General features: G+C 41.5%; 1 protein-coding gene across 1 annotated transcript in view, besides 6 other annotated features; it reads right to left on the bottom strand.

The window, feature by feature from the left end:
• ZC3H12C (zinc finger CCCH-type containing 12C) overlaps nt 1–5,949 on the bottom strand; it is a 78,450-nt gene extending 72,501 nt beyond the window's left edge. The window contains exon 1 of the mRNA NM_033390.2: nt 5,909–5,949. Within this exon, the coding sequence (NP_203748.1) occupies nt 5,909–5,929 (21 nt within the window). The 5' untranslated portion in view covers nt 5,930–5,949. The remainder of the gene's footprint in view (nt 1–5,908) is intronic.
• Nucleotides 5,590–6,059: a silencer, noted in NCBI's record as "silent region_3885". NCBI's record gives its function as "represses an Ori minimal core promoter by ATAC-STARR-seq in GM12878 lymphoblastoid cells {active_cell/tissue: GM12878}" and the evidence as "EXISTENCE:reporter gene assay evidence [ECO:0000049][PMID:35858748]".
• Nucleotides 6,120–6,379: a silencer, noted in NCBI's record as "silent region_3884". NCBI's record gives its function as "represses an Ori minimal core promoter by ATAC-STARR-seq in GM12878 lymphoblastoid cells {active_cell/tissue: GM12878}" and the evidence as "EXISTENCE:reporter gene assay evidence [ECO:0000049][PMID:35858748]".
• Nucleotides 6,680–6,739: a silencer, noted in NCBI's record as "silent region_3883". NCBI's record gives its function as "represses an Ori minimal core promoter by ATAC-STARR-seq in GM12878 lymphoblastoid cells {active_cell/tissue: GM12878}" and the evidence as "EXISTENCE:reporter gene assay evidence [ECO:0000049][PMID:35858748]".
• Nucleotides 21,096–21,145: an enhancer, noted in NCBI's record as "active region_5499". NCBI's record gives its function as "activates an Ori minimal core promoter by ATAC-STARR-seq in GM12878 lymphoblastoid cells {active_cell/tissue: GM12878}" and the evidence as "EXISTENCE:reporter gene assay evidence [ECO:0000049][PMID:35858748]".
• Nucleotides 21,446–21,615: an enhancer, noted in NCBI's record as "active region_5498". NCBI's record gives its function as "activates an Ori minimal core promoter by ATAC-STARR-seq in GM12878 lymphoblastoid cells {active_cell/tissue: GM12878}" and the evidence as "EXISTENCE:reporter gene assay evidence [ECO:0000049][PMID:35858748]".
• Nucleotides 22,704–22,998: an enhancer, noted in NCBI's record as "tiled region #12390; K562 Activating DNase matched - State 5:Enh". NCBI's record gives its function as "activates a minimal TATA promoter and a strong SV40 promoter by Sharpr-MPRA in K562 cells {active_cell/tissue: K562}" and the evidence as "EXISTENCE:reporter gene assay evidence [ECO:0000049][PMID:27701403]".

The following is a 25,050-nucleotide window of genomic DNA, read 5'->3' as shown; positions in this document are numbered from 1 at the left end:
GACTCTATGTTAATGGTTATACATATCAATATAACTTTTCTGAAAAGCTTTTTGGCATTAAAAAACCTTCAAGTTTATTCTGTTTTATCACTATTTCTAGGACTCCATCCTAAGAACACAGATGCAGAAAAAGGAATTTCACTGGGCTAGTCAACTAAAGCATTATAATATTAAAATACTGGGAAAAAATACATGTCTAACTGAAATAGTAGAATGATTAAATAACACAACGTTAGAAATATTTTTAGATGTCATGAGAAAATCCTTAGTGTACGTTAAATGAGAGAGCGAATGTAGGATATCAAGTTCTACAAGTAATATAATTCCAATTATACAGGAAAAAGATGTATCCTTTTAGAACCAAACTCCTAAGAAAGATGACTTCATTATTTTGCTTAAACCTCACAATACTAGACAAATCTATTGACACGTATTAGGTTACACAGACTTTAATACAGTCATGTGTCACTTGACAAAGTTATGTTCTGAGAAATGCATCCTTAGGCTATTTCCTCTTTGTGCAAACATCACAGAGTATACTTACACAAACCTCTAGATGGCTATACAGCCTACTACACTCCTAGGCTATATGGTATAGCCTATGGCTCTGGGGCTACCAACCTGTACAGCATATTACTGTACTAAACACTGTAGGCAACTGTAACACAATAAGTCTTTGTGTATCTAAGCATAGAAAAGGTAGAGTAAAAATGCAGTCTATAAGATAAAAATGGTACACCTATATAGGGCACTTACCATGAATGAAGCTTGTAAGACTAGAAGTTGCTCTGGATAAGTCAGTGAGTGAGTGGTGAGTGAATGTGAAGGCCTAGGATATTAGTGTACATTACTGTAGATTTCATAAACACTCTACACTTAGGCTACCCTAAGTTTATCGAAAAATTTTTCTTTCTTCAATAAATTACTCTTACTGTAACTTTTTTACTTTATAAACTTTTTCATTTTTTAACTTTTGGACTGTTTTATAATAACACTTGGCTTAAGACAGAAACACATTGTACAGCTATACAAAAATATCTTCTTTCTTTATATCCTTATTCTATAAGCTTTTGTCTATCTAGAAAATTTTTTACTTTTTAAACTTCATTTAAAATGAAGACACAAACACATACATTAGCCTAGGTCTACACAGGGTCAGGATCACCAAGATCACTGCTTTTCACCTCTACATTTTGTCCCACTGGAAGGTCTTCAGGGGCGGTAACAGGCACGGCACTGTCACCTCCTATGATAATGCCGCCTTCTGAAATACCTCCTGATAGACCTGCCTGAAGCTGTTTTACAGTTAACTTTTTTTTGTATAAGTAGAAGGAGTACACTCTAAAATAACAATAAAAAGTATAGTATAGTAAATAAATAACCCAGTAACATAATCGTTCATTATCCTTCTACCATCAGCAGCACTGTAGGTTTGTTTACACCAGCACCACCACAAACATATGAGTAATGCCTTGTGCTATGACATCAGGAGATGGCTATGACATCACTAGGCGACAGGAACTTTTCAGCTCTATTATAATCTTATGCACCACTGTCATATATGCAGTCTGTTTTTAACTAAAACATGATTATGCAGTGCATGACTGTATTTGTTTTAACAGGGACTTAGCCTGGCTAAATTAATTGGAACCCTCATTCTGCTATTATTAATTGTGGGAACTCGGGTAAGTTATTTGACCACATTGTGGTTCGGTATTCTCATCTGAAAAAAGAGGTACTGAAATACCTCTTCATAAGCAGGTAGTAAGCATTAAATGCATTAATACATGTACAGCACTTAGAACAATACTTGGCACAATAAATGTTTCATAGCGTTCTCAAACTTAAACCACAATGCAGTAAACCAAGTGATATCTAAGCTGAGGGCTGAATAAGGTGTGACCCAGGCAAAAGGTGAGGGAAGATAGTTTAAAATGTTCCAGGTAAGCAGGAAGACCATGGGATTTTCTACTTATTCCATATCCACCCTAAGATATGTGATACTTATCTTAAAGGCAGAATGCTTTGAATGTTCAGGTATCTGCTTATGAGCTCTGCTTCAGGCTACATTACTGGGCATAAGAATTATTGTCAGTGTTGTAATGTAAAACCGTGTACATTATACTTTAGGTGCAATTAGTTTCCATTTTTCCTTAAGAAAGTAAAACAATCCTCTGATGATGCTAAGAATAATTAAACAGAGAGAAATTTGCCATAATGTTAAATGAGTTCTCTCTGGATTATGGGATTACAGGTGTTTTAAAAATTCTTTATACCTCTCTATATTTTCTAATTTATTCCACAGTAAGCACATTACATTTCTATAGTCTGAGAAAAGTTATAAAAATCAATAAAAAATATTATTCATTAAGAATGTTTGTTGCTTTCACTGAAAAGTGCTCCTTTTTGTGAACTACACTGCTGTTACATCATTTGCCATGCTGGACTGAAACTGGAGTCTTTTGATTTGTCTCTGTAGTGAACTCAAGCAGCCTGGCAAAAAGACACGGTCCTTGCCTTCAACTTACCTGGCCAGACAGGATTTCTGTATTGTCCTACTACTGTCGTACTATGCAGAGGAAAGGCTTCTCGTCTTACATACTCACTATGCATCACTTAATTTTCAAATGGTGTATGTCAACAAAACAACATACATGATGACACACTTTTTAGAGAACAAACTAAAAACAGAATCCTATCGAGGCAGAACTTGCACAGTGGTTAAGATCATGGGTTATAAAGTCAGACTGCCTGGGTCTGAACTCCTTTCTGCAACTTACTAGCTATATGACTTTGGGCAAGTTACTCAAACTCAGTGTCTCTGCTTCCGCATCTATAGACTGGGGATAATAGAAGCAATGCATAAAGGTGTTCAAGGGTTAAATGAGATAATGCATGTAGACTTAGCATGTTGTCTGGCACATCAGTGTACAAACGTGACTATTACTATGTCACCTATAAAAACCAAAACAACAGTAGAGAATTGATGCCGCCACAACACATATCTGCAGTTATCTTTATACTATCAGATGCCAAAAATTACTATGTGTCAGATATTTAATTTACACACTAATCCTACAAAAATTTTAAACAAATCTTGAATCACCAAGAAATTAGAGATCTATTCTGGGGTGAAATAGATCTTTCTTAAAAAATCACATTCTTGATTGATCATCCTTTCTCTGAACTATTAATTGCAAAACAGCAGCAGAGATTATAACATGTGTTTTGTTGAATCTTCACACATTTTCACTTTGTAAAGTCATGAGATTTCATATGCTGCAGGTCCATGAGGCATATTAGCACTTAAAACACAAGAAGCTTTTTTAGAACATTTGGTAGATTTACGATCAAACTCCGGAATCTCAATATTTTAGGCTTAAATTTGGAATCCTGATTGAATTAATTTTCATTATTCACTGACCATCTTATTTACTTAATATTGCTCTAATAAAAACTATACTCCAAAACTCTATTTGCCAACTTACCCACTCACTACTCCTATCATCTGCCCCATGCGCCACATACTGGACCGCCCACTCCCTGCTTTCCTTCCAGGGTTCACTGACTCATTTGGAAATGACTCCCAACCAGCTCTACCTACTCAAATCCTACCTTTGAGGCACTCCCCAGTACCTGAATTTCTCACTTCTTTTTTCACGGAACTTAGTACTTTCCACATAGCATTATGTTCGTTCATAATCTATCCTTTTAGAGGTCGGGGGCCTTACACAGCAGCTAGAGTGATAATAAGTAATTATTTGCAGAGAGAACAGAAGCATACCAGTTTCAAATGAGCAATAACTGCAGATTAGTGTTATTCTACGTTCCAACAGTAAAAAGATAAAAACATTCCCTACTTAATACCTTGTTTGTTTCTTTAAAAATGCTATCAAATCAGAATTAAAGAATTCTAAATTTATGTACAAAAACAATGAAACACACTAAGAAGTTATAACAGCAACATTTTTACGTCTGTGATAGTAATTAAAATTAATGTAGCAACCACTGTGGTCTGCTAGAATGAAGACCTAGTTGTAGAATGAGAAAAATGTTTTAAACATAAAATTTCTATTAACAACTTGGGATCCGATTTTGCAGACGTTGGTAACCCATGAAAACCTAGCTCCAGAGAAGCCCATAATATAAAATAGGGTATTTTTATATAGTCTGGTCATTAAAACAAAAATTTAGTAAAAGGAAGTGACTAATAAAAACTCTCATCAGTATAGAAACATTCCAAGTTTCTGTTTCCTATCCTTTAATATTTCCCATTATACTAAAATAGTTCCGTTAGACTTCCCTTATTAAATAAAGGCTAAAAAATGCCAGTCACTTTGTTGTTGTTTATTTAAAAGTTCATTTTACTTTGGTTATAATGTTTAAGTACTTTTATGGTGACCAAATACTAGAAGTAGAATCTTGTAACTTACTTTGAAAGTAAGATAGACTCTTTCATGTAAAAATATTAAAACATTTTGAACTATGGGTACATAGTCAACAGGCCATTCTATTTTTATGGTACCATCCAGTAGACAGATTTAGGTAACTGGAAATAAGCATGCCAAATTGTTGAAGAAAACAGGTGAACAGGGGGTCAAGTCCGAAATAGGCATCTTCCTGGGCTTATCACACTAAGATTAATTTTACCAATGTTTGATGAAGCTATCATGTAGTCAAACACAGAGAACCCTAAACTTAAGAAACTGCTACTAAAATTAATTGTACATGTGATTAAATGAATGGAAGTCATACCCTCTAAATCCTAAGTCCATTAAGACAAAAACATTTATAACACACTGTATTTATGACTTCTTGTGGTTCTTGAAAAGTCAAAAATTGTGTTTGAGGTTTATCTCGTTTTCCGTTTATAATATGCATTTTAAAAGTGGAAAAACTCAAGCACGTAACAAGTGAAAAACTGAACAACGTTGCCAAATTCCTAAACATACAATACTTAGCTCCAATTATCTCTGCATCTATTCTAAAATGGTTTAAAAAAAGTCTGAATCAATAAGCGCCTGATGGGCCTGGGATACTCCAATACAGTCTTGTCAACCAATAGGAAAACTTTTCCTAAATCTGGATTCGTCTTTCATCTCTTTATCACAAAACACCGAACACAAACCGAGATTGTTAACGGATAACCAAATGGCAAGAACCCCAGACAGAGTAATCAGTACTTGGATGTTAGGGCTGTTTTTAAGGACTTGAAATGAGACAGCTTAGGGAAGAAATGCGGGATTCATTTCTCCAAGTTATATTTGTAACACTTCTTAATACGGAGTTAAAAATGTGAACAGCCGAGCTAAAATGAACGCAGCGTGTAAAAGGGATCTGGACTGGAGCCTGGGGGTGAAGGAGGGACGAGGGGGGAGTGAGGGGCTTTCGTGACGCTCGGCCTGGGGTTGCTGGCGATCTGGATGGAGGGATGGATAGTTAAGCGAATGGCCAGGGCTGGATCCGAGATGCCAAGAGATGTCTCGCCCCACGAGCGCGCGCGAGTCTGAGCCGCTGGGGCAGCGCAGTGTGTCCGTTTCCATCCGCGGCGCCCGAGCCCGCCTCCATGTTCGCGATCTATGCCCCCGGGCGGGCGGGGACCGGTGCCTTAGGCCGCGGGGCCGGGAAGCCCGGCCTCACCTCGCCCGAAATCCCGGCGGGGACGGCGTTGCCCGAGGGGAGGATGCGCTGGGCTTTCCGCTCGGCCCCACCTGAGCGACCGGAGCTCGGTGACTCGACCTCCGGAGCCCGACCCGCCTGGGCCTGGAGATCACACGGCGAGGTCGCTGCGGCCCCGGCGCCCTCCGCCTGGCGCCCGGGCGCGGCCCCGCGGCCCTCCCCACGACCGGCTACCCCAGGACCACTCTCGCCGCGGTCCGCGTCCCCCACCCCCTTCCCGAGGACAAACCTGGGAGCCGCCACCCGGCATAGCCAGCCCCGCGAGAAAGCGGCGAGCGGGCGGCGGGGCCCGCGGAGAAGCGGCCACCGCGGCCCTCCCGCGCCAAGCCGCGCCCGCCCGCGCGCCCTCTCCGCGGGCCGCAGCCCCGGCGCCCCCTCCCTGGGTTGCACAACTCACAGCCCCAACGCGCGCGCACTCGAATCTGTTGCTCAACCTACTTGCATTCTCTTCTCCGCAGCCATCACTACATGCCCTGGAGCTGGGGCAGCCCCGGGGCCCTCCGGCAGGCGGCCGCCTCTCGCCTCAGCCCTGGGCTGCCGCGGCCGCCGCTAGGGCGCGGGGCGAGCGCGAGGCTCCCTCATGCCTCCCGCCCGGACAGCTGGCCGCACGCCAGGGCCCCGGCTCGGGCGCGCCCGAGCGCTGGGCTCGGCTCGGCCCTGCCCTTCGTCCGTGCCGCTGCTCCGCGGGCGAGAGCGAACCCGGCTCCGCCACCTCGCTCCGCGCTCCTCGCCCGCCCGCCCGCCCGCAGCCACCGCAGCCGCGCCGCTTCCTCCTCCCCTTCCCTCTTTTCCTTCTCCTCCGTCGCCGCCTCTGGAGCCGAGGTTGGCAAACCAGCACCTGCTGCTGGAGAACGCCGAGAACTGAAACAGGAAACCCTGAGCCAAGGGGAAAACCCGAGAGGCGTGGAGAGGGGTGAGGGGAGCTGCTGGAACCTGTCGGGCTCGACCCAGCCGCTGGGGCTGCCCGAGGTTCCCGCGCCGCCTCCCCTCGCGCCTATTCCCTGCCCCGGCCCAACCCAGCGGTCCCGACCTCCCCGCGCCTCTCCCCCGACCTGGTGCAGGACGGCGCCTTTCCGCTCGGCGACACCTTCTCCACCCAGCAGTAACACTGATCATGTCCCGGGCAGTCAAGGAGATCGACGGGCCGCCTTCTTAGGGCAGGTTCCCCGTAGTTGTTTACTTATCAATATTCCGTGATGAGGAAAAACCACACCCTGCATTAGCAAGGCCAATAAAAGAATTTAAACAAATGAAGCTGTTGGGATTTCACCCAGGGATAGGACTTCTTTCAGCAAGGAAATTGGCTTTGATGGAAATGGCAATCGTGTCAAAATCGAGGTTGAACCCAAGATACATCCAGATCTCTTTCAGGAGATCGGAAGGAAACAGCCCTTTGCACAGAGGTGGGCGCCTGAATCGCAGGCTGAAAAGCACCGGGAGCAGAGAGCCTTTCTACTTCTGTGAATCGTACAACACCCAGCACAAACTAAGTCAATGTTTCAGAAATGTTCAAATAACCTTATTCGCCTGTCCTTGGAATCATTACGAGCAGCCTAGGGCAGGATGAGTCTGCTTCTGGAGTGAGAGGGAGGGACACTGAATGGGTTGTGCCCCTACCATATGCCACGGGCCAAATAGCCTGCTTTAAATCCACTGTCCCGTTTGTCACCACAGCCATGTGAGCTGGGTATTAGAAACCCCTTTATCCATCAGAAAATCGAGGTTAGAAAATTTACCTGCAGTTACACAGCTTGAATGTGAGGTATTCAGGTCTGTTACATCTAAAGGACGCATTTGTTTCACTGGACCACGATTCATGCCTTTGATCAACTTTTTACCTTTCATAAAATTAGTTTTGCCTCTGAGTTGTTTTCAGTAGGGCATATATATGGTTTAAGCCTGGATCTGTTGAATTTGCTTGGACTGCCTAATGGTAGTGATATTCATGATGCTTATTGGGGTTCAAACTTGATAATTTTCAGTTTAATATTCTCTACCAAATGTAGGCCTTTATGGCTCAGTTGAGCAGCACAGATGTCCCCATCTTTTTGGCCAGCATCAGTTGCTCTTTAGCTGTTGATGTTGGGGTCCCAGCTGAGAGTATCCTACTGGCTGGTGCACATGAGCATCCTGACTCTGCCTGTGAGATGAAAGGAGAGTGTCTTACTGAGCCTGTTTTCCACGTCAGTAGGCCAGTCATGAAGCCGATTAAATAAAATTGCAGGTAGGCAGGTAGGCTGCCTTCTCTGGTTCTGTGGTGCACACTTTTTTTTTATATAGAGTCTGACCCTGTCGCCCAGGCTGGAGTGCAGTGGTGCGACCTCAGCTCACTGCAACCTCCGCCTCCTGGGTTCAAGCGATTCTCCTGCCTCAGCCTCCCCAGTAGCTGGGATTACAGGTGTGTGTCACCACATCTGGCTAGTTTTTGTATTTTTAGTAGAGACAAGTTTTCCCCATGTGCCCAGGCTGGTCTCAAACTCCTGGCCTCAAGTGATCCATCTTCCTTGGCCTCTCAAAGTGCTGGGATTACAGGCGTGAGCCACTGTGCCCGGCCAGGTCCACATTTTTTCATACCACCCTGAAGACCCTTAGGAAGATTGGTAGCCTGCTGTCTGCAGCCGGGTCAGATTTTTATTGGCAGGAAAGTAGGGGCTGGGAAAGCAGCCCCTTTACACTGTGCCAAAACCTTGGAGGTCTCTGGAGCAGAGTTAGAGGCCCTCAATCTTAGGATCTCTAAGGGACTTAGCAGGGACTTAGAACGAGACTGGCTGTTTGACGATAAGTGACAGCATCTATGGCACGGCTTTAGTGATGCCAGGAAGTTCCTCCACTCCGCAGTATACTGCCCACACAGTCTACCTCTTACCTTGTATCCCACAGTTGACTCAGCTGAACTCCATTGATTAAGCTTGGTTAAAAATCAAGGTAAAAGAGATGAGTAATAGTTATAATAACTAACATTTAATGAATGCTTACCATGTTCCAGATACTATTCTAAGCACTTTGCATGCGTTGTCTCATATAATGCCCACAAAACCCCTATAAGGAAACACCTATCACTATTTCCATTTCACAGACGAGACAACTAAGACCAAGATTATAGTCAGTAAATAACAGTGCAGGGGCTAAAATGCAGTCAATTTGACTCTAGAATCAGGACCCATTATGTGAATAAGATACAGTAACTGCCCTTATTACTTTACTATTTATTTGGAGAAATAAAAACACATGAAAAATTAAAAGAAAACTAAGAAGAGAAGATAATTTATAGGTGTCAAATGTGAGTATAGGTAATAAATGCCATGAGGTATCAGAAGACAGAGAAATCACTTTAGGTTGGGGTGGTTAGGAACACTTACATAGAAGATGAGTCGGGGTTTCAAAAAGGGGAGATTTGAGCTGGATTGTGATGAATGAGTAGTATTTTGATAAGTGGAGAGGATAAGGAAGAACATATTCATAGAATTGATAACATATACGAAGAGTGCCAGGGAAATTTGGGGAACAGGATAACAAACAGCTGGAAAGGAAAAGTAGGACAAAATTACAGAGATTTGCAAAACAAGCAAGGAATACACTCTCACTCATGCACAGAGTGAGAGAGCAAGAGAGAGAAAGAGAGAATTTGGCTCCATGTAGTCTGTGTACTAGTAGGGAATCTGGAAGGATTTTGGTCAGAAAGTGATAATGTCCCATTAGAGGAATACCAATATTGTGATGGTCACCGGATGGTTTGGAAAATGGAGGGAAACAAGTTTGCAGGCTAATATGGGAGAATTGACCTGAAATCACGAAGTGGACAGTGAGAGAGGGAAAAGAAGAAATGGGCTAGTGAGACACTGTGGTATACAAATCATAGAGGCTTTGTGAATGATTGAGTGCACTTAGTGGAGATGGACTTAAGAAAAGGAAGAAGTCTAAAATGACTTCATGGGTGCGAATGTGAAACCTGTAGCATTACTAATGGAAAAAAGGGGCAGTGTATGAGTACAGAAACTACTTTTAAAAACGTTCAGAATAGTTTGGTTTTAGGCATGTATTTGAGTTAACAGCAGGATATGCATGTGGAAATATTTTATAGTCCTATCTCAAAAAGGCAGATAGTTCAGTAAATGAGAGTATTCATTATCTACTATTGAGAGCGTCAGTATGAAAATTTAAAATTTTCACTATGATAACAACAACCAGGCATGGCTGTTCATCTTTAATAAACCAGAGTGGAAAGAAAATTTCAAATAAACATAAAATGTTTATATGACTCAGTATTAAATAGGCATTAGGGAATTCCACTCATATTCTCTTTTTACCCCCAAATTATATTTACTTAGAGAGAAAGAGACAGAGAGAGAGAGAGATAATGAATATATTGGGAAGAATTTTCATGGGTTCAGAGGATGTTAGGATAATGAAAAGAAACTTAGAGATCATTGCAAAATTGAGGATCAAATTCTGAACATCTGATAGTAGACTTCAAAACAGGCATTAGGCAAATATGGCACTTTAGCTATTATTGATTCTGGATAGCCAAATCTTTTTTGGTTACAAAGTTAAGTCTGGACCTTGGATTGAGACTTGGAATTGCACATAATTAAAAAGCTCTAGTGGCTGTGGCTTCAGAGTAGGCAAAATCTTGGAATAGACTCACTAGTAAAAAGCAAATGCTTTGGAAAGAGCAGCTAGAGGGAGGATGGTCACAAAGGCAGGAGTCCTACCTTCCAAAATATGGCGCTTAGGTAGACTTCCACACACCTAGATTCACATTTGAGCCTTAAAAGGTAGAGTTTCAGATCCTCCTCACATCTCACCTTGGCTGCCTTAGTCCAGAACTTCCAATTACCTTGTCACCTTATCTAAGACCTCCCAGGGCTTCAGGTGGTCACCCTCAGGTGGCACACCTCCTGGCAACTGCTTTTAGTTCTATTTAGAGGTTTTCCGGTGGTGTCCTTAGGAGTTTTCTCATTGAAAACGTGTGGACCCCATGGCTACACTTGGTGTTGCAGGAGAGTTCTGTCTCCTGCTTTCATGTCTCAGGCTTCTGCCATTTCTGCCAAAACACTTACCTTAGTTGAAGCAATATCAGCAGTTCCCCGGAGGCACCTTCGCCTCTGTCTCTTTGGCCAGCACCTGATTTCCTCTAGTTGAAGAGCTTCACACGCATAACCAGGTGACTATTCTGATGTTTCATTCACAGTTTCTTTTATGTCTTTTAGAGAAGTTCTGGTTAATTCCAACAACCCATGAAACGTCAAGCATTACCACATTACAACCATTTACTAAGCACCTGCTGTGTACAAGGCAGACACTGAGGGCTGAAATATATCCTTGCTTATAAGCTTCAGTGACTGGCTAGAGTTCCTTTTTAGTACTGAGTTCTTAGGGAAAGGAAACTAGAGGACACAAGAAATGTGCTGCTGACCAATCTCAGGGCTTCTTTCTTTTGGTGGGTAACCACAAGATTCCTTACCAGCAGTATGACTGTTTTTTCCCCAGTATTTGTAGGAGGCCACCAGAGAGACAGGATTGCAAGGTTTTAAATATGCTAGTGTCATGAGGTCATGGATTTCCTACCTGAAACAGATAGTGTGACTGCCCTGCTATAGCCATGTTTGGCCAGTGTAGGAATTTTGAGAACAGTGAACACTTAATACTCAGATGGCATTTTGCCACCCCGACAAGGACCATACCTGCCATTCCATTGTAGTTCGCCTTGCCCAGAAGTTTTAAAATTTTTCTTTCAGCCTGGGATTTCAAGTGTACTACAGCATCCTCTTCACCTATACAAGCGTCTGTTGTTTTAAAAGGAAACTGGTAAGTAGAATTACAAATGTACAAAATTTAGATAGTTAAAAACAGAGTTATAGAATTTGCAGGTTAGAGTACATCTTCTTAGAAGACTGTATTGCAGAAATGTTAATTGTAACATTATTTGCAAAGGCAAAAAGTATTAGAATCAGTCTAGATGTCCATTAATAGGAGACTTTAAATAAACTGCAGTATCTCCATACATTGAAATACCATTCACCTGTTAAAAGAGGGTGGTGTGGCTTTATGTGTATGGAATAAACTTTAAGATACATTGTTTGGTGAAAAGGGAAGGTAAAGACCAATGTCTACTACCATTTGTGTAAAAAAACTCTGTGTTTGCTTATATATGCATATAATATCTCTGATGAACACACAAGAAACTGGTAAAGCTGGTTGTCTCTGAGTAGAAGAACTGGATAATTGGGAAGAAAGGGTGGAGAAGAGTCTCACTTTTTACTCTATACCCTTTCATAGCTTTTGAATTTTAAATTGGGTACTTGAATTCGCTATCAAAAATATTTTTTAAAAGGCTTTTATTGGTGATGTGTGCTCTGTCCATGCCTTTCTTTTGCATTCTGTGAATAAGCAGCCACTGTTTTTTTCAAATAGTAGCCCAGTCACAAGGAAGAGGAAGTTATAGGAGTCCTGTGAGTTGCACGTGTGAAGGCTGGGGCTTCCCAGGCAAGGGAAAGATTCCTATGATCATATGAAAGGGGAGATCCCATTATTGCTCAAGGATTCCCAGCCGGCATTAAACGGTGTTAGTCATTGTTTTTACAATTTAATTGTCAAAAGCTCTAAACCCAGATTATATGAAGATTTTTGTTGGGAACTGCTTTACCCAAGGGGAATATCCAGGGATGTTCTTGTGGGCAGACACAGGAGGAAGTGCACAGAAGCTGGAGGTATCACAGTGGATCAGCTGTAGGCATAGGGTCAAGGGAGCATGCATGTTTGTTCATAACACTCATCACTTAGAATTGTATTTGCTTATTTGATATATTATTGGTCTTCCCACATGAGAATGTAAGCTCCCTGAAGCCAGGAGCTCTGTCTGTCTTGCTCCTTGTGGTGCCCTTAGTTTTTCTGTGCCTGGCATGTGGAAGACATGCAGGTTGGCGATGGACAGTGGGAACCCTGATGACTCTCCAACCCGTGGCTGCTTGTTTAAGCATTAATTTGTTAGAAGGTAGTAAAGACATGGCTATGGGAACTAGGATTCTGGACTCCAGTCTCTGAAAGTTAGGATTCAAATCTCAGAGGAACTGGGGAATTACAAAAATATTCAAGCATGAGGGAACAAGGAAGGAGCCAACTACTGAACTAGCAGAAGAAGGCAGGGATTCGGTTAAAAAAGAAAAAAAAAGATGAGCAACTGACCAGCAAACATATTAAAACAAAACAATTCTCCAAACAAACAGCAACTAGCACAGTGATAAAATAGGAGAGAGAGTCCATAATTAGGGCTGCAGTTTACAGGAACAGCAGGATTATCAGCAGGGCAGGCTTGCTGCTAAGTCACTGAACCACCGGAGACTTGAGTAATTGGGATAGATTAGGTCACTTGACTTAGGGTCTATATCGTCTTCAGAGTCTAGGATGGGGGCAGGTAAGTGAGCTTAGTGACTAAGGACAGAGGCATAGAGGGGAAACAAGCAATCTAGTCCCAGGTACTCACTTTCAACTTAGGGTGGAAGTCAACGGAAAATGTATACTTACAGCAATTTTGATTGAACACCGAATTCTAGGAGATTTTCAGCCCAAGAATATCCAGAAGGAGTCAGAAATAGGGAATCTAGCCAGAAAGGAAATGTTAAGCACATCTCTATGAGTCCTACAAGCAAATGCCATTGGTCTTGGTGGGCAGCGATTAAGGCCAGAGAGATAAATAGGCTAGAGCCATCCAACAGTTTTTAATGGTTTCGGTGGGTCACAGATCACATTCAGGGATTTGGTGGAGGTGAGCTCTGACCTTAGAGGAGTGATTTGTCTTCTGCCCATTCTGTTCTGTGGTCACTCTAGAGCACACAGGTTTAAACTTACAGACAGAGGTAAGTCTGGCTATACTTTGGGATACATTAGAGCCATTCACCTATTCCTGTGTCTCATGGTCCTTCATTTTAGTTAAAAGGCTTACCTTATTTGAAACAGTATCAGTAGTCCCCTGAAATGTTTCTCCAGCTCTTCACTGGTCATGTGACTTCCTCTAGTGTTTGAGTCTTATACACAGACCTCTGAAGATACATTGAGAAGGGCTAGGCCTTCTGATTCATTCTTACAAGCATCTGTTTTTAAAAGTGAGCATTGTCTGTCTTTGGCAGTCCCTACTTTCTAATGGAGATTTTGCTAGAGAAATACAGAAACTTGTCATTTTATTTTGGATAACTACAAGAGGCAGTTAAATGTTCAGTAAGCTTTGGCAAGGACAACTTGTTTACGAGAAGACACTGTTCTGATGAAATGTACTACCACTGCTTTTTGTGGCTTACTTTGCTAAAACATATGTTTGCAAGAGCATTTTAGAGTGTTGGTAGGATAGTGTCTATATAATTACTTGTATTATCTTAATGGTCAGTTCTCTATGTACAGAAACGGGAGCTGGCTTTTTTTAAGACTTTTTTATATATATAGCCAACCAACAGTTAAATTGAGGCTCAAATGCTTCATCTGTATGGACCTTGAAGAAGTGTTAATGGAGATGGATTTTACTGCCTTTAACATCTGGTTCATTTTAGTATTTCAATATATTATTTTAAATTGTAGCAGAAAAACATGCTCATTATAGAAATTTTTTAAGGAACGTAAAGTTTCAAAAATGTAAATGATCTCTAATGCCATCACCCAGAGATAACCAACCACCTCTTCTTTCATTGTCTTCATGCTATGCCTATATTCTACTATTTTTTTTATTTTATTCAATCAACCAACTGTTTGTTGAGTGCTGGCACTGGACTCAGAATCATAAAAATAAAGGACATGGCCCATATCTCAAATAAATTTAATAACTCAGTCACCTGGTATCCCGAGGGCTTGTTCTCAAAATAATTCTCTGTCCATTTTGTGGATTTTTTCATTGAATGCATGTTTACTGAGCACCTGCTGTGTTCTGGGCACTATTTGGATGCACTACTACTTCCTAAGTCAGACTTGGAGAATTCCTAAGTTGAAGGCAGGTGCTGCTTTCTTCAGTGTATCCTGCCAACCCCTCATCTTTTATGGCTCTCTCCTTTGCTTATTCTCCACTAGAAACACTGACCTTATTGTTCTTTTTGTCTCTCTCTCTGGAGCATCCCCCCCACCTCCCCAGAAATCTACAAGGCTTATTCTCTAACGTCCTTTGGATTTCTGCTCAAATGTCACCTTATTAGAGAAACTTTCCCTCACAACCTATCAGAATATCACCACGTATCTTTCCTCTATCTGCATTCTGGTCACTACCCATCTCCTGAACTCAGTTTTTTTTAATCACATATATTAGGTGATTGTAAGTGCCTATATACACACACATATATATATATATATACACACACACACACATATATATACACATACATATATATACACATATATACATATATATACACACATATATATATATACATACACATATATATTTGCTGAGAAGGGGGCCAGATAGGATGCTTATGGCTTCAACCTTCACTTAACACAGGCTGAAAACTGTAGACTTATGATACTATCAAGATTTTGATGGCTGGGGAGCAGATCAGGATCAGAATATAAGTATGGTAGATTCTGTCTTGTTAATAAATAAATAATTTTATAGGAGAGGCAGAGTAGTGGTATGGTATATGAATGGAAATTTGTTTGCCAAAGGTGAAAATGTAGGAAAGTTTATTTGAATAAGGTAAAAAGAGAACAGACATGGCATCACTATTGGGATATATCACAGGAAATGCAGACAGATGGTAAATATACAGGTGAGACTTTCTGCAGAGAGATCTCTAAATGGGCACAGTGAGAAACAGCAATGAGTGAAGTCTTTAGATATCTAGGAATCTGTTGTACATTGTAATCAGCCAGAAGCAGAATATCTCATAAAGTCATGACTTACACTGTGGATTCTGTTTTCCTTTGGCTTCTGTGATACCACTTCTTTCCTGGATCCTCCCCTTGCTATCCTGATCAGTCTCTTTGGGGTTTTTCTTTGTATGTTGAGGCCTACAATGAATTTCTCTTGATCTGTTATCTTTTGGCTCCACCCACATGCCCTGGCTTTTCTCACACATTCCTGTGTTTTTAGCTACTACCTATGTTCTGATGATTGTCAAATCTATCACTGTAGTCCATTGTACCTGGCACGGAGTAAGTGTACAATAAAACCATCACTTGATTATTCAAAATTAATAAATGGGCTTTGTTGAGCTTCTACTGTGTGTCAGCTATTGTTGTAGGTGTTGGAAAAGTTTCCTGCTCCAATACAGTTTATATTATATACCCAACATACAATTAAAGACACAAAATGTACACATAAACAAATGAACAAAATAATTTCACGTAATAGTAAGTGCTCAGAAGAAATAAACTAGAGTGGAGTACTGACAGGTCTGGAGCTGGCATGTGGGTGGTAATCAGAGGAGGCATCTTTCAAATGCCATTTGAGCTGAAATGATGTTCAGGAGCCAGCCTTGCAAAGCAATTTGCAGGTGGAGCATATAGCAAGTGAAGGAGCCTCCAGACAGTATAAGCAGTGTATTGGAACTTGGTGAGGGAGGGGAGTGTGACCTCAGTAGAGGTGGCCCCTTCAGGTGAGTCCTGGGCTCAGCAGTTTGCCTCAGGAACCCACATCTTCCCATTGTCTTACCCCCAGCCAGCCTCACTTATTTTCCTTACTTGCCTGGTGCTTGTAAACATTTACGTTCATGTCCCTTTCCTGCTCTTGATAAATGGCACTGGCAGTTATCAAACCTCCATGTTTCACTTTACTTCCTGGCCTTCACATCAGCTGCTCTCTCTGCCTGCAACACCTTTCCCCTAATAGCTCTGCGAATGAAGATTTAACTTGGCATTTCATTCCATTCTAGAAAGCCTTCTTTGATCTCATCTATCTGGGTTACATGTCTTTCCTCTATACTCTCAGAGTACCATGTGATAACCAAGGCACAGAAAAGTTGAATAACTTGTCCCAAATCACACGACGGAGACAGGATTTGAACTCAGGCAGTCTAACCTTATTCTTAACAGCCTCATGAGGCGTGGTTGTAAGGAGAGTTACGTGGGTGATGCAGCCACGGCTTAGCACAAGCCATGACATTTAGAAAATACTCAATCAATGTTAGGTCTAATTACAGACACAAGCTCTGTTCCTGAGAAGCTTATGGTTAAATGAGGGAGCTAAAAGCCTAGTAAACAAATGAAAAAGTTGGGAGGAAACAATTTGAAATTCTAGAAAAATGTTTATTATAGTTTTTATTGTTTCTCTCATTTGTATCCCTTTCTATAAAGCACTTGCCACTAATAACAGTGATGATGAAATTCTTTGAAGAAGAAAATATTTGAAAAAGAGAAGGTCTTGTGGAAAAAAAATGATGAATTCAGTTTTAGACATGTTGACCTTGAGATACTTCTGGAATATCCAATTAGAGATGAGCCGTTGGCTGGACAAATGGCAACACAATTCACCCTGTTACTTAAGCATCATCCTTGATTCGTCCTTTCCCTCACTTCCACATCTAATTCAGCAACCGGGCCTTGTTGGTTCTGCTTTCAAAATATATCTGTAATCTGTCCTCTTCCCTTCTCTACCACAACCCTGATCCAGACCAACAGTATCTCCCTGTGCCTCGCTTTCTCCATCTGTAAAATGGGGATAGTGTTTACTTTATGGGATTGTCATGAGCCTTCAATAAAATAATTTATGTAAAACACTCAGCATATTATCTAGAACATAGAGGAAGGAGGCACCAAAAAATAGAGGACCAAGACTGTGTGGAGCCAAGGAATCAAAGGAGCAAGTATTTCTAAAAGAAAAACTGTTTATCAGAAGTTAAGAAGATTGGGAACTTCCAAACATGTAATATCTTGTTCTGTTAGGACATGTTTTCCTAAGAGTGGTGAAATAGAAAGTTGAACAAGGTTATTCTACGCAATCAGTTAATCAGAATAATGTATACAATTATCTCCAGAAAGATTGAGTCAACTGGAGTCTCTTGATTAGAAGCAACAAGAGTCAGCTAGAATCTGGTTGACTCAGATCACCTCTGTTGAGTCAAAAGTTTTTGTGCCAGGCCATCCTACAGGCTGCTGACCAATCTGTGGATTGGCTTTTTTTTGGGGTCAGTTACCCAATCCTGTTCAATCCGTGGAGACCAGAGAGGGGTAAAACAAAACCACCATGGTCGGCTAAGGCTGCTCTTGGGGCTCCAGATGGAACAGTTTCCCTTAGAAATGGCTCTTGGCTCTGGATGTGGCAGGCGTAGTTATGTTGAGGAAAAAAATGAGGTTTGAAGTCTAATGCCTGGTTTTGAGTCCCAACTATGCAGTTCCAGTTGGGACGAGCTGTGTACTGTGAATAAGTTAGTGTATTTCGCTACTGCTTGGCTTCTCCTTTAATAAGTAGATATGTTCTAAATGCAGCCGGGTGCGGTGGCTCCCAGCAGTTCGGTAGGACAAGGTGGGCAGATCACCTGAGGTTGAGAGTTCAATACCAGCCTGGCCAACATGGTGAAACTCCCATCTCTACTAAAAATACAAAAATTAGCAGGGTGTGGTGGCAGGCGCCTGTAATCCCAGCTACTTGGGAGGCTGAGGTAGGAAAATTGCTTGAACCTGGGAGGTGGAGGTTGCAGTGAGCTGAGATTATGCCACTGCACTCCTAGCCTGGGTGACAGAGCGAGAAAAAAGATCCATCTCTAAAAAAAAGATATGTTCAAAATGTCATAGATGTTTGCTTTGGAAAGCACTTTATAAAACACAACCACCCTGAATCATCCACGTCCTGAATAACCTTTTAACTTACTAAGACAAACATTTTTAAATGGAATTATTAAGTTAATTTTTAAAAACCCTTTGTTAAGATACTTTGCTAAAGTGGCACTACTCTCTGGGAATAGGATGGATATAATTTTCTCAGATGGTTTTCTGTTCTTTCAGAATTACAGGAGGAAGAAATTCCTTAATGCTAGTGAGAGATAATATTTGGCCAACTCAAGCCAGAACGGTCTACACATGCACAAGTCACTGCTATGATTTTAGTTCCTAAGAATTAGGTTGAAATGCAGTAGACTAGCCAAGACTCTCCTTTTTTAAGAAATTAATTATTTTTATTGGCAATCATTATATATACTTATGGTGTACAATGTGATATTTTGATATTTGTATATATTGTGGCATGACTATATCAAACTAATTAGCATATGCATTATCTCACCTTATTTTTTTGTGGTGAGACATTTAAAATCTACTCTCTTAGCAATTTTCAAGTACTGTGTACAATACATTGTTAAGGATCTTCTTTAAAGAAGCAAAATTGTATTAAGGAACTCTGACAAGAAAGTGGAAAGAGAATTAATAAAATGAGAGCAAGTTCAATGGGGCCAGAAGGTTGACCTAGGAGTCTTTCCTTCTATTCTTTTTTTTTTTTTTTTGAGACAGTCTTGCTCTGTTGCCTAGGCTGGAGTGCAGTGGCGCGATCTCGGCTCACTGCAACCTCCACCTCCCAAGTTCAAGAGATTCTCCCCCCTCAGCCTCCCAAGCAGCTGGGATTACAGGTGTGTGTCACCACACCCAGCTAATTTTTGTATTTTTGGTAGAGACGGGATTTCACCATGTTGACCATGCTGGTCTTGAACTCCTGACCTCAGGTGATCTGCCCATCTCAGCCACCCAGGGTGCTGGGATTACAGGCGTGAGCCACTGCCCCTAGCCCGACCTAGGATTTCCAAGATGTTCTCAGTGGTTGGGAATTTCTCCCAAAGCCACGCCCCCTTAGTAGGCCAGTCAGCTGAGGAGAGAGAACAGGCTGGAAGCCAAAGTATGGTATGAGGACTGCAGAGGTAAGAGAAAACAGTTAAATGCTGATGCACATTGCATGTTAATACACAGTCATTGCCTCCTGGAAACTATATTCTGGGATTTAAAGTGAGAATACCCCAAACTCACAGCACATGTTTTTGCAATCTCAAGGCTGACAATTGCCTTGCCATTGCAAAACTTGTGTTTCTGTGTCCTTTTCTCTCTTAACTAATTAGCCTGTGCATTACCTTGGCTTGCTTGAGAAACTACCTCATTCCCCAAGCTATAATATATAGCTGGAGTAAATATTTTTAAAAATAAATATTGAAAACTTTGTTCATTTTTTATTTTAAAAGAAGTCCAATGTTTTCTAAAGTAAAAACAATGAAATAATCAGGATTCTGGTCTCATGTGATAGAATTTATTAAAGAATATTGGTATGCCTGACAGTCTCTAGAAGTGCTGGAGAACTGAGCTTGGAGGCTGTGGAGCCTGGCACTATGACCAACATTATGCAACAGAAGTATTCCAGGAAGATATCAATGCCTCTGCCAATAGGCACTGACACCACAGCTTGTCTTACCTCCAGCCTGATGCTGGCACTGGAGGTGGCCACTAGAATTGTTATGCTTGCTGCTTCTGCAAAATGAATATAGCTTCTGTCCCTGCTATTACCCTTGCCAGAATGGACTCCTTGAGGTTCCTCCTTCTTTGGTCATGAGCTCTGGGTTCAAAATGTGAGGGGAATGCATCCAATCAGATGACTCAAAGCCACATGCCATCATCCTAGCTGCAAGAGAGGCCAGGCAAGCTAGTACTTAGAATGTTCAGCTTCTAGAGTGGGAGGTGGGCTCTGCCTCATGAGGTTTCTCATGCATAGTGAAGGGGCTTAGATGCTGGGGAGCCAAAAACATTAAAAATATATACAAGGTTTGTCTTCTGTTAATAAGCGCTTGATTTAGTTAATACAAGATACTTTGACACACAGCCTCTAATATTTCAGACATTTCCTTTATGGCTCTCAATTTTTGTTGGTAATTCCTGCAAGGTCCCCAAGAAAGTGATTCACAAGAGCCTTTTACCTGAATAATTTTTCTCAGGAATATTATGTAAATAGTATTTTTACTTCAAAATCTTAACATTTACCAGCATTAAAAATCAAGATATGTTTTTGTTGCACAAATATAATTGTTAATATATTGAATAATTAGCTATAAAAATAATGAATCAATTGGACACTTTTATATTTAAGATATGCCAAAATTACATAGCATTAAGACATGTATTGTCATGATAATATATTAAACAAGGAAGGAGTATCACAATAAATATTTTATTTATTCTTATATATTTTTTAGATTTCTGTCTGGACCTCTGACAATATACAGATGTAGTAAAGAAGATTCAATCTCTTTTTGTTGCTGGTGGACTATTTTTGTAGTCCAATATCTAAGACTAATAAGAAACTCTCTTATCAAAGCTACCTAATAGTCATTTCACAATTGATTAGCAATGCTAGTCGTGATGCAGATACATGCCACATGTAAAAATTTCTAATATCTATGGCCACTGTTTATTCTCTTCCAACTCCTAGTGTAATTAATTTAGAAGTTAGGAAATTTATAAGCCAGATGGGAATTAGACTATGCTCAAAAGCCCAGGAGACTTTTGTCTGTATGTTTTTGGTTGTTCCATAGTGAGACCATATTTTCCCCAGTGATGTTAATGAAGGGATGAGTGGCCTTTCGTTGGTGCTTACTCAGTCTTTGTCTTTCCTGTGAGTCATTATTGTTTTCTAGCTAGATACTGTGGCCAGCCCCGCTTTCAATATGTCATTTTCATTCATTTGGAAACTAAAGAGCTGTGCTTTGCACCACGTCCTTGATGTCAGCAAAGCCAGCTCTGTCGGACTAAAATGCAGAGACATGTTTGCAGCTAGTGCAAAGAGTTGCAGGCTGCCTATCTCAGGGAAACAGCTGCGTGGAGCATGTGAAAAGCGCTATTTAGAAGGGTTTGAGGGCTTGTATGCCTAGAGCAACTAGCACCTCAAGCCTGGCCTTGGTAAGAAAGCTGGCCTTCATCTTTGTGACTGGGAGTTACAGAATGTACCATGTAGGGGAGATATGAACTCCCTGTAAAATAGTGACATGACATATATCCCTAAGTGTCCCATGGGATGGTCATCTTATAAGGGATAAATGAGTTAATACATGTAAAACAGAAAGATTCTTGGTTATTAAAATGATCTAAGCTTTTCACATATGTTATCTCATGCAATCTTTATAACCACTCTATTCAGATAAGGAAACTAGGTCTAGAGATGTGACGTAAATTTCCCAAGGTCACACAGCTAGTCAGTGGCTGAGTTAAAATTCAAACTGAGTTCTTCCAGACAATCAGAGCCCTTAACCTTTACCAATGAACTCAAATTCAACACCTGGAATTATATTCTGTTAGTGATACCAGGGGCAAAGTACTGTAGTTGACATGGAAAGAAAAAAAAGTATGAATTAAAGAGAACTGTCCTGAGCATGCCCTAGTGTGATGCTCAGATAAAGGAAGGAGCCCCTGCTATACAGTTTGGAAGTTCCAGAAAGGAGACAGCTGAGCTATGTCCAGAAGCCATTTGAAAGTCTGATGAGGGATTCTGTTGACTTTTGCATTCTTCAGTGTATTTATACCCTTCCCCAAATTACTTCACTATATAAATAAACCTACAGGTGTGGGAAAATTGAGTGTGTGATAATTAAGATTGGAGACAAAGAATTAAAAAAGTCAAGATATGAAAACCCTTCAGTTTGTGATAATGATCATGGCACCTCAGTAGATGTCTAATAAATTGATGAAAACTTAGAGATTATCTCAGAATGTTTTGTATGTAAAGCACGGATTACATCAAACAGAATTAAAGCCTTTTAGATCATAATAAAAATAATTTATGGATGAATAATTTTAACGGGTGATTTGAAAAAACCTGGATCCTTCTAAGAAGAGACATGTGGTTGCATAAGACAGGAAGATTTACTGCAGTCAATTCTCAGAGGCCTCAGAGCTCTAGTTAGCATGGCCCCAGGCATTTTATGGTTTTTACAATCTATTTGCTTTTAACTATATCAGCTTCTAAGGGCTGGATATCCTTCCGGGAGTAATGCTGTAAGGAAGTTAGCGTTGTCCAAGACCCTAAGGCACTGCTGTTCAGAATCTGTCCTTAATAGTAACAGAAGTGTGTGATATAGTTTGAATATGCGTCCCCACCAAATCTCCTGTTAAAATGTAATCCCTAGCGTTGGAGGTGGGGCCTGGAGGGAGGTGTTTGAGTCATGTGGGTGGATCCCTGATGACTTGGTGCTGTCCTCTCAGTAGTGCATGAGTTCTTGAGCGATCTGGTCCTTTAAAAGTGTTTTGCACCTCCCCCCACTTTCTCTCTTGCTCCTGTCTTTGCCTTTGACATGCCTCCTCCCGCTGCACCTTTATCTTGAGTAAAAGTTCCCTTAGGCCTCCCCAGAAGCTGAGCAGATGCATCCTTCCTCTACATCCTGCAGAAGCCTGAGCCAATTAAACCTGTTTTCTTTATAAATCACCTAGTCTGAGGTGATTTCTTTATAGCAATGCAAGAACAAGTTAGCACAGGATGTCTCTGGACAAGGGGCGCCTCTGGGCAACAGGTTGATCACTTAGTGGGTAAGTGGGTAAAGGGTACACTTCGAAAAGTCTATGGTCTCCTAATTCCAGCAGGATTTCCTTTCTTGGACTCCAAAAATTGGTTAGTTGCTTCTCTGAAGTTTTCTCACAGCATTTTGCATGGTATCCCACTGTGACTCCCAGCAGGACTTTATGGTATAAGCTGGTAATGAAACCACCTTTGTAAAAATCATAACTGAGGAAATTATGACAGTGTAAGAGATCAGACTTAACCGACTCCATCTTGCTTCTGACCTCTAAGCTGTCCTTGTTCATTCCTGGGCGTAGGCCAAACTAGCCTTGGAAAGGAATTTATAGTTTAAACTCTGAAACAAAATTGATAATAGCCCTTTCCCGAAAAACCCCTTCTTGCCTGGGGACCAGTCTGCCTTTGTAAGACTAACAAATTAGCCACAAAATTAGAAATTATGCCATGCCATACAGCCTCTGGCTGCAAGAGTCTGAACTTCCCCAAATTGCTCCTGGGAATAACATCGCTGTTGTAAAACCTAAGATCAGTGCTTGAGATATTTTGCAGACCCTGCATTCTTATGCAGCAGATGATGACACCACCCAGACCTACAAATAATCTGGCTCAACCAGTTCTGCAATCCCACCCAGGAGCAGAAGTCAGCAAGAAAGAACTCACTTCGACCCCCTATAATTTCATCTTCAACCCAGCCAATCAGCACTCCTCACTATCCGAGCCCATACTCGCCAAATTATTTTTAAAAACTCTGATCCCTGAGTGCTCGGGGAGACTGATTTGAGTAATAATAAAATTTGGTCTCTTGCACAGCTGGTTCTGTGTAATCACTCTTTCAACATTACAGTTCCCCTGTCTTGATAAATCGGCTCTGTCTAGGCAACGGGCCAGGTGGACCCATTAGGCGGTTACAGTAGCTATGGTTTGGATCTGTGTCCCCACCCCAATATCATGTTCAATTGTAATCCTCGCTGTTGGAGGTGGGGCCTGGTGGGAGGTGATTGGATCACGGGGGTGGTTCCTCATGAATAGTTTAGCACCGTTCCCTTGGCGCTGTTCTCATGATAGTGAGTGAGTTACTGTTAGATCTGGTTGTTCAAGTGTGTAGGGTGGGCGCGGTGGCTCACGCCTGTAGTCCCAGCAGTTTGGGGGCTGAGGTGAGCAGATCACAAGGTCAAGAGATCGAGACCATCCTGGCCAACATGGTGAAACCCCATCTCTACTAAAAATACAAAAATTAGTTGGGTGTTGTGGAGCGTGCCTGTAGTTCCAGCTACTCGGGAGGCTGAGGCAGGAGAATCCTTGAACCTGGGAGGTAGAGGTTGCAGTGAGCCGAGATCGCGCCACTACACTCCAGCCTGGCGACGGAACCAGACTCCATCTCAAAAAAAAAAGTGTGTAGTACCTCCCCACTCCTTCTCAGTCCTGCTCTTGCCATGTAAGATATCTGCTCCCTCCTTGCCTTTTGCCATGAGTGAAAACTCCCTGAGGCCTCCTCAGAAGGAGATGCTGCCATGCTTCCTGTACAGCCTGTGGAACTGTGGGCGAATTAAACCTCTTTTCTTTATAAATTACCCAGTCTCAGACATTTCTTTATAGAAATGCGAGAATGGACTAATAGAGCTGGTTTACTTGTTCATTTCTTTTCTGGAGGTGTGGGCTGCCAACATTCACTAAGGTATCTCCACTGCTTTGGCACCTAGCAGGCATTTGATAGATAACTGTAGAATGATGGATGTTAAGCCATATAGGAAGAGGAAGTTTTTAAAAGGCCATGGGAACAGGGTGATCTCTAATTGCAGTTAGCACAGCTGTCCCTATGAGTTGTTATTTAAAATTCCTTGCATTTGAATTGCAATGAATTATGATATACATATTTTATACCGTTATTAGGTTCAGTTCAGAACCCACATTTACTGTATGCTGGG

The sequence above is a fragment of the Homo sapiens genome, chromosome 11, assembly GCF_000001405.40.
Source record: "Homo sapiens chromosome 11, GRCh38.p14 Primary Assembly".
NCBI lineage: Eukaryota > Metazoa > Chordata > Mammalia > Primates > Hominidae > Homo > Homo sapiens.
The sequence above is the reverse complement of the archived record's forward strand: the minus strand, read 5'-3'. Positions and strand labels throughout refer to the sequence as shown.